An 8,088-nucleotide genomic window follows, 5' to 3' on the forward strand; every position below is an offset into this window, starting at 1 on the left:
TGCAGCCATCAATCCATCTTATTTTTAATGCTAATTATTGTTAAGTTGCAGATGACAATACATTTCATTCAAAATGCTTTAGTGTGCAGATTAATAAGAGTTCAATATTTGTTTATAGTTTATTTTTCTTTCAGGGTAAAATTTCCTGAGTTTGTCAAAATGCATACATGCACCTGTGTAACTGAAACCCCTATCAAAATATAGAACATTCCCTTGCTTCCTCCTTTACCCCTATCCTTACCCATAACTCCAGGTAACCACTGTTTGGACTTTTTTTCACCATAGATAAGTTTGCCTATTCTAGAACTTCAATTAAAGCCAATCATGTGTTATGTACTCCTTTGCATATGTTTTCTTCCACTCAGCCTAATTTCTTTCTTCATCCCTGATTTTCATTCCTTTTTATGGCTAATATTCCATTGTGTGAGTATATTATATTTTGTTTATCCATCCTCTGGTTTGTTTTTAGTTTTTAACTACTATGAATAAAGCCACTATGAATAGTCTTCTACAAGTCTTTTTGTGTCAATGTATTTTCGTACCTCCTGGATAGGACTGTAATTGTAGGGTGAGACAATAGGTGTATTTTTTAGTTTTATAAGAAACATACACAATTTTTCTAAAGTGATTATTTTATATTCCCACCAATAATGCATAAGACATTCAAATATCCTGCAGTTGATCTTTTTTTAAATTTGTACCTATTCTGGCAATGTGAGCGATATCTCATTATGGTCTTAATTTGCATTTCCCAGATGTTTTATTTTTATTTTATTTGTTTATTTTTTGAGACAGAGTCCTGCTCTGTTGCCCAGGCTGGAGTGCAGTGGTGTGATCTCAGCTCACTGCAACCTCTGCCTTACAGGTTCAAGCAGTTCTCCTGTCTCAGCCTCCCAAGTTGCTGGGACTACAGGCGCATGCCACCACACCTGGCTATTTTATTATTATTATTATTTTTAGTAGAGACGGGGTTTCATGTATTGGTCAGGTTGGTCTTGAACTCCTGACCTCAGGCAATCCACCGCCTCGGCCTCCCAAAGTGCTAGGATTACAGGCGTGAGCCACCGCGCCTGGCCTACATGTTTTATTTCTAATAGTTTTTAGGAAAAACACAATTAGAACATAAAGTCCATAATTGCAGGGCCAAATAGAAAATAAGTCAATTTAAGATAAAGTTCAATAAAAATACTAGATAAATAATAGTTGTGGTGGTATATGGATATAGCAAAATTTGTTGAAGTGGTCTGTGAATAAGTAAGGTTTGAGAAATGCTTTTACAGAGGAGGTAATTTTTCAGACTTCCTTGATTTTCATGGCTTTCTCTTTTGTTTTTTGAGATGAGGTCTCACTCTGTTGCCCAGGCTGGAGTGCAGTGGCATGATCATAGCTCACTTCAGCCTTGACTTACTGGGCTCTAGTGATCCTCCCACCTCAGCCTCCTGAGTAGCTGGGGACTACAGACACGTGACACCATGTCTGGCTAATATTTTAAATTATTTGGAGAGACAAGGTTTCACTATGTTGGCCAGGCTGGTTTCATGGCTTTTTTAAATCAAGTAAAAAAAATCAACATGTACAAATATTTAAGAAATTTTAATTACCATCATCCACTACAGAGTGATTGAGCTCTGAGATTAGGTTTCTATGTAAGCCCAGGGAGAATAAAGATTTCAGGCCTCCCCCCTGCTTTTGAGACCGTGCTTTGAACAGTCTGATTGTATAAAACCGGAAAAAGAAAAGAAAACTATATTACCAAGACAAAGTGGCAAGGTGGATATTAGTACACATACTGGAGTCAGCCTGCTGGATTTGATCCTGGGTCCCACCACTTAACTAGCTATGTGACCTTGGCAAATTACCTTACGTTTCTGTGCTTCAGGTTCCTTGTGTATATAATGTGAGTTATAATAGTACCAACTTTGTATGGAATTGTGGGGAGTATATGCGTAAAAACATGTGAACATCATGTAGTAGGCTTGACGTAGGGGTGGGTTACTATTATTATCACTACTGTAATCAATCAGCACCAATACATTCAAGTGAAAAATGAGGCAGGGGAATAAATACTTCTAGAAAGCAGAAAGACTTGTGCCTTCTGGCATCTTATTGTATCTTATTGTTAACCTGCCATTAATTTCCCTTTGATATGGTTTGGATCTGTGTCCCCAGTCAAATCTCATGTTGAACTGTAATCCCTAGTATTGGAGGTGGGGCCTGGTGGGAGGTAATTGGATCATGGGGGTGGATTTCTCATGAATGGTTTAGCTCCATCTCCTTGGTGCTGTCTTTGTGATAGTGAGTGAATTCTTGTGAGATCTGACTTTTTAAAAGTGTGGCACCCCGCTTTCTCTTTCTTGCTCCTGCCTCCCTCCATGTGAGACGCCTGCTCCCCCTTCACCTTCCACCATAATTGTAAGCTTCCTGAGGCCTCCTCAGAAGCAGATGCCTGTATTATGCTTCTTACACAGCCTGCAGAACTATGAGCCAATTAAACTTCTTCTCTTTGTAAATTAGCAGTCTCAGGTATTTCTTTATAGCAATGTATGAATGGCATAATCCACCCTTTTTCTAAGATAGCAACTGGCTCTTCCATTGGGCAACAGCCCTTCCCAATTCTCAGCGTGAGGCTGACCCTATTTTTTGGCCATCTGGTCCAGGCCTGGCCAATCCACATTTCTCATCCCTCTGTTCACACTGATTGGTCCAGAAATGGACACTTGATCTTAGTCAGAATACTACTATTCAATGATAAAATTTCTGCCGGTGCTATTGAGAAAGTGACTCCCTTTCTTTCTGCTACAATTGCTGAGTTGATAAGACAGGATGGTGCCTCTGGGAGTCATTTTGCATCTTCTGGGGAGAGCCTGCCTGAGACTGAATCCCACAGAGAGAAATGCAAAGCTAAACAAAGAGAGAGGGAGCGAGAGACAGAAAAAGAGAGAGAAAGATGTCTACTGACATCATTTGCCAACTGGCTCCAGCTGTCTTGATCTTACCTTCCCAGCTGTGAACTCATACATTCCCTTTTTTGCCTAAGCCAGTTTGAGTTCAGTTGCTGTCATTTGTAACTGAGAATCCTGATGAATACATCTTTTATAGTCAAGGGCACATTTTTGCAAGACAATTTCCTTCAGTTAAGTTGAGGGGCTTTGCTGTGTGTATGTAAATATTTTTCTCGATGAAACTTGCATAGGTGGTTTGTATATATTACATGGAGACACTGGTAGAGCCAGGTTTATGAAATACCCCCAACAGATCGGGAGGCAGATTTGGAGGGAAATGATGCCAGTCTGTTTACTGTGAAGCAGCCGTGGGAAGCAGGAAGACACTCATAATTTCTCAGCGTCATCTGGATTCCATGGTCTGAGTGAGATGGAATGGAGTGGCTTGGGGAGTGAGGAGGAGAGTGGGGCCGGATTCTTCTGTAGATATTGCCCTGGTGCTGCAAATGGGTGAGGGAGACGAGATCTGCTGCTTTACTTTCCTTCTTCTTTCAGCCTGCCCTTATCAGCTGTTGCTATTGGAACTTCCAGAACCTGTGCCTCCAAGTCTCAATATCCTTGTTAACACCTCTGATAATAATCCTACCTTATACCCCTGGACTAAGACTCATCTAAACATGATGTAATCATCTGATTTCAATTGGCCCAGCCATCTGGAAAAGGTACCTTTCAATCATTTGGTTGCTCTGAAACTAAGCCTAAAATTACCACATCTATATTTAGTGACTTCCTAAACACAGTATCAATAAATATGGCTTCTTATTGCAAAGCTGGATAATTGCACTTATTCTTGTTAACATCTCATGTGCTTCAAAGAGTAATTACAGACAATGAGAAAGTTTAGGTTCAAAGGATTGTGCATATTATCGAATAATGAATGAAGAGTGCTTGAAAGGTGTGATGGGGTTAATCACTGAGGGCTAAAACGGTCTGCTCGTGCATCGCTAAGGGAGAAGCAGCATAAGCTCTTCCACGGTGTACAATTGATGCAACTCCACACCAGCCTAAATTCTGAAACCCTAACCACCGGGAAAACAAAAGAAGTGCTATTAAGAAATGAATGGGTTCAGTGGAGGCAGGAGTGTGTATATGTGTGTGTGTGTGGGAGGGGGCTGGGGGATAGGGGTGTGTGTGTGTGTGTGTGTGTGTAAAGTCCAGTAAAACTAACCTGTGATGATTAGCAAGAACTTCCTGCTTATGGTCTTGTCTCTCTTAACTTCATTTATTTATTAATTTTTTATATTCAATTCATTCATTCATTTAAAAAATAGTGAGACTCCACTTATGTTGCAGAAATTGTATCATGTGCTGGGTATAAAATGAGGCTGCCCTCACAAAGCTTATAGTCCATCTGGGAGACAGATGTTAAACTACAACGGTGATAATCACTGCAGAGCAAAGTTACAGTGTGAGATGCTGTAATCTAACCCAGTTTACAAAGGTCAGGACAGATTTCCCTGAGGACCTGACATTGAAGCTGAAGCCAGAAGGAGAAGGAGGAGTTAGATCAGCAGAAAACAGTAGAAAGCGTGAAGGCCCTGAGATGGGGAACAGCTGGCTCCTTGTAAAGGTGGGAAGAATGTTAGAGAGGTTGGAGGAAGGTGAATAAGGCTGGAGAATAAGTGAAGCTGGAGATGTGGGCTGGGGCCAGAGCAGGTGGAGCCTCTTGACCCTGTATAAGAGGCTGAACTTTATCTCAAAGCTGTCAGAGCCACACCACTGACAGGTTATATGGGAAACTTTACATTTTCTTTTTAAATTAAATTTAATTTCCTTTTAGAGACAGGGTCTCACTCTGTTGCCCAGGCTGAAGTGCGGTGGCACAATCATAGCTCTCTACAGCTTTGAACTCCTAGCATCAAGCAATCGTGCCAGGAAGGGGTTTGGGGCAGATCATGAGAAGGGTAAGCATTGCCTAGCACGGCACTTGTCTAAGGTGAAGGCTTTTCAAGTAAGGGTGTGTGTGTGTGCAGGGGGAGGCTCTGTCTTCCAACAATGGAAAATGGGCCTTCACTACAAATTTGGAGAGTTCAAGGAAATCAAGGTACGACCTCGAGGCATCAAGATTCTCAAGTGCATCTACCCAGGTAGCCCCATCCCAGTTCTCAGCACTCACTTCTTCCTCATGGAGGGTCGATTTTTTCTGGGAGATTGGCTTTTGCAGGGAATCCAGGCTTTTCTCAAGTTCTGCCATTCTTATAGTTAAGTCTTCAAGCCACAGGAGATGGGAGTCACTGTAAAAACTGCAAAGAGTTTTCTTCTTTTGCTTTAAATTGTTGATTAATAGATCTGCCAACAGATCTATCGATCAATAGATCACTTCCTCTCTTTGTTAAATCAGTTCCCCAGTCCTTACAGTTACTATTTTCTTCATACCTTCCAAACACCTGTCTCATTGCACCAGTCCACATAACTCTTTCCACTTTTATCTCATCCCAGTTCTTCATAGGTAATGGTCTTAGCAATCAGCAGGCCAGGGATTAGCCTTGTCTCCCACCAGTGATGTGGTTCTTCTTTCCATCCTGCAGCCTGGTGATCCAGCTAGAGGATTCCATATCTAGTATTGCTTCCTAGAACCATATGCCATACCAACTCTTAGACTGGATTCCCTGAAAGTGGCATCTGGTGTGGGATTTCTTGTTGAGGTTATTATTGGGAGAGTGCTCTCCGGAGAAGAGGCATGAGAGAATCAGAAGTAGGGTATGGGAGAAAACTAAACAAGGATGTGGCTCCCCTGGAGACTAGCTTCCCCTTGTGGAAGATCTGGAGCAGAAGTTGCACCGCAGAACTGGCCCCACCTGGGGTAGGGAGGCCTGTCTTGGATACATGAGTGAGTACTGGCTGTGGTCTGCATTGCATGTCGCAACTTCCCCCAAACACACGCATAAAGAGCTGGCAACTCTCCATTTTTTTTTTTTTTTTTTTTTTTTTTTGGTTTTGACATGGAGCCTTGCTCTGTCACCCAGGCTGGAGTGCAGTGATACGATCTCAGCTACACTGCAACCTCCGCCTCCCAGGTTCAAGCGATTCTCCTGCCTCAGCTTCCCAATTAGCTGGGATTACAGGCTCACACCACTGTGCCCGGCTAATTTTTGTATTTTTAGTAGAGATGGGATTTCACTATGTTGGCCAGGTTGGTCTCGAACTCCTGACCTCAAGTGATCCGCCCGCCTCAGCCTCCCAAAGTGCTGGGAATACAGGCATAAGCCACCACACCCTGCCTCTGTATTGTTATTATCAGCCAACACACACACACTTAGGGGATGGGTGCTCCAGGAGTAAAGATGGCAAACAACATCCAATTATAGCTGTTATTATTATCCATCATAACTGATAATATTATCAAAAGGCAGTTCATATTTTTGCAGTTGGAAAAAGTTTCCCTTCAATGGTGGCTGTGAAACTGGTGCTATATTTTTTCTCCTACAAAAGGCTATGTTTTCCTTAATGTTCACCTGTAAAATTAAGTAGAAAAGCCTATTAATTTGAAGGGAAAATGCAAGTGAATTTATTAATGAAGTGTTAACAAAAAGGTTTATTGTAGCAAGGTTCTCTTCTCATTCCCTACGAGGCCTCTTACCACATACTCACATATATTTCTCCCCTAAGAATGTCTGTCTGTTGGTTTCCGAGGTAAGAACGCGGTTTTTTGTTTTTGTTTTTGTCTGCTGTAATCGAAGCAAGTTTCCAAGTTGGTGAATTAATCCACTGTGCCCTGCTTACACCTAACTAGTTAAGAAGGATACAATATCATATTATATATGCACAAAGATATATACTTTAATATATGAACCAGAATTAATTAATGCTTCATGCAGAAAAATCCATTTTGCCTCAATATGTAAGCACTTGAGAAATGTGTTTCTCTGAAAGCTTCTGGGAAACTGCTAGAGTGATCTATTGAACTATAAACGTAAATCTACTTATAATTTATAAGCAAATAAGCCTCAGGCATGTTTTTATAGTTTCAGCCTTCTCTGGCTAGTCTTCACAGCAGAAAAGAAAAGAAGTACTTTTTGAGAGTAACTCAAATTTTCTTCCCACATTCGGTATACGTGAAGGAATTTGGAGAAATTTTGCATTTGGTGGAAACCCATTTATAAATTTTCTTGTGAAAATATTATAACCATTGTAGCAATCTTGGGGACAGGAAGTACTTGATCTTTGTTCAAGCCATCGGTTACAAAATATTGGAAGTGAAAGCTGCTGAGGTCTGCGGTGCAGGGGTAGTGGGCCGAAGTATCTTGTTAAAAGGGAAGGACTTATACATTTCAGCATTCATGTACATTTGTTAGACCACAAGTAATTATGACCTTTTTGGGGAAAAAAAAATGCAATGGAGGTGAATTGTTTCCCTTGCCAGGAGACAGAATTTTTGAGCAGCTCTCTGGAGAGCAATAATGGCCCAGCATGGGTTTGATTAATTTGCAACTGGAAAGGTATTAACTTGAGGAAAGTGTTCAAGAAATATTTGGAAGTTATGGTTTCTCTATTGGACTGCCTTGAAGATTTAGATGTCCCCCCAGGTGCTATGTGATCAGTAAGAAATGCAGTGACTCCTGAGCTTTTGGAGGTGGGTGATGAAGGGTGATGGTGATATGTTGAAGAAAATCAGATTTTCTCTTTTTTGTCAGGAGTGGTGGCTCAGTTGGATGCAAACTAGCTAACATTTATTGAGGACTGAAAATGTTCCAGGCACTGTCTGAGAACTTTTCTTGTTTATGAGAGAGGTACTACTGTGATCCACTTTCCACAGATAAGAAAAGAGAGATTAAGTAATTTGCCTCTGGTCACCCAGCTAGTTAGGAATAAAATTGAAACCTAAATAGTTTGACTCCAGGGCACATGCTCTTAGCTTTTTGGTGACACAGCTTCCAAGGATATAACCATAACCAGGAGAAGGAACTTGTAGGCTTATATCACACTCCAGTTATTCTGAAGCAAGGTTGTGTCCTTGCAAAGTTAAATGAGGAATTGGATTATTTTCTTATATATTCTATCAATTCTATTTTGCAGCCCATCTATTCTGGAAAAGTTAAGGTTGGTGGTGGTGGTTCCTGGGTCTTCGGCTATTATTTTTTCAGTC

The sequence above is a fragment of the Homo sapiens genome, chromosome 4 (assembly GCF_000001405.40).
Source record: "Homo sapiens chromosome 4, GRCh38.p14 Primary Assembly".
Lineage (NCBI taxonomy): Eukaryota > Metazoa > Chordata > Mammalia > Primates > Hominidae > Homo > Homo sapiens.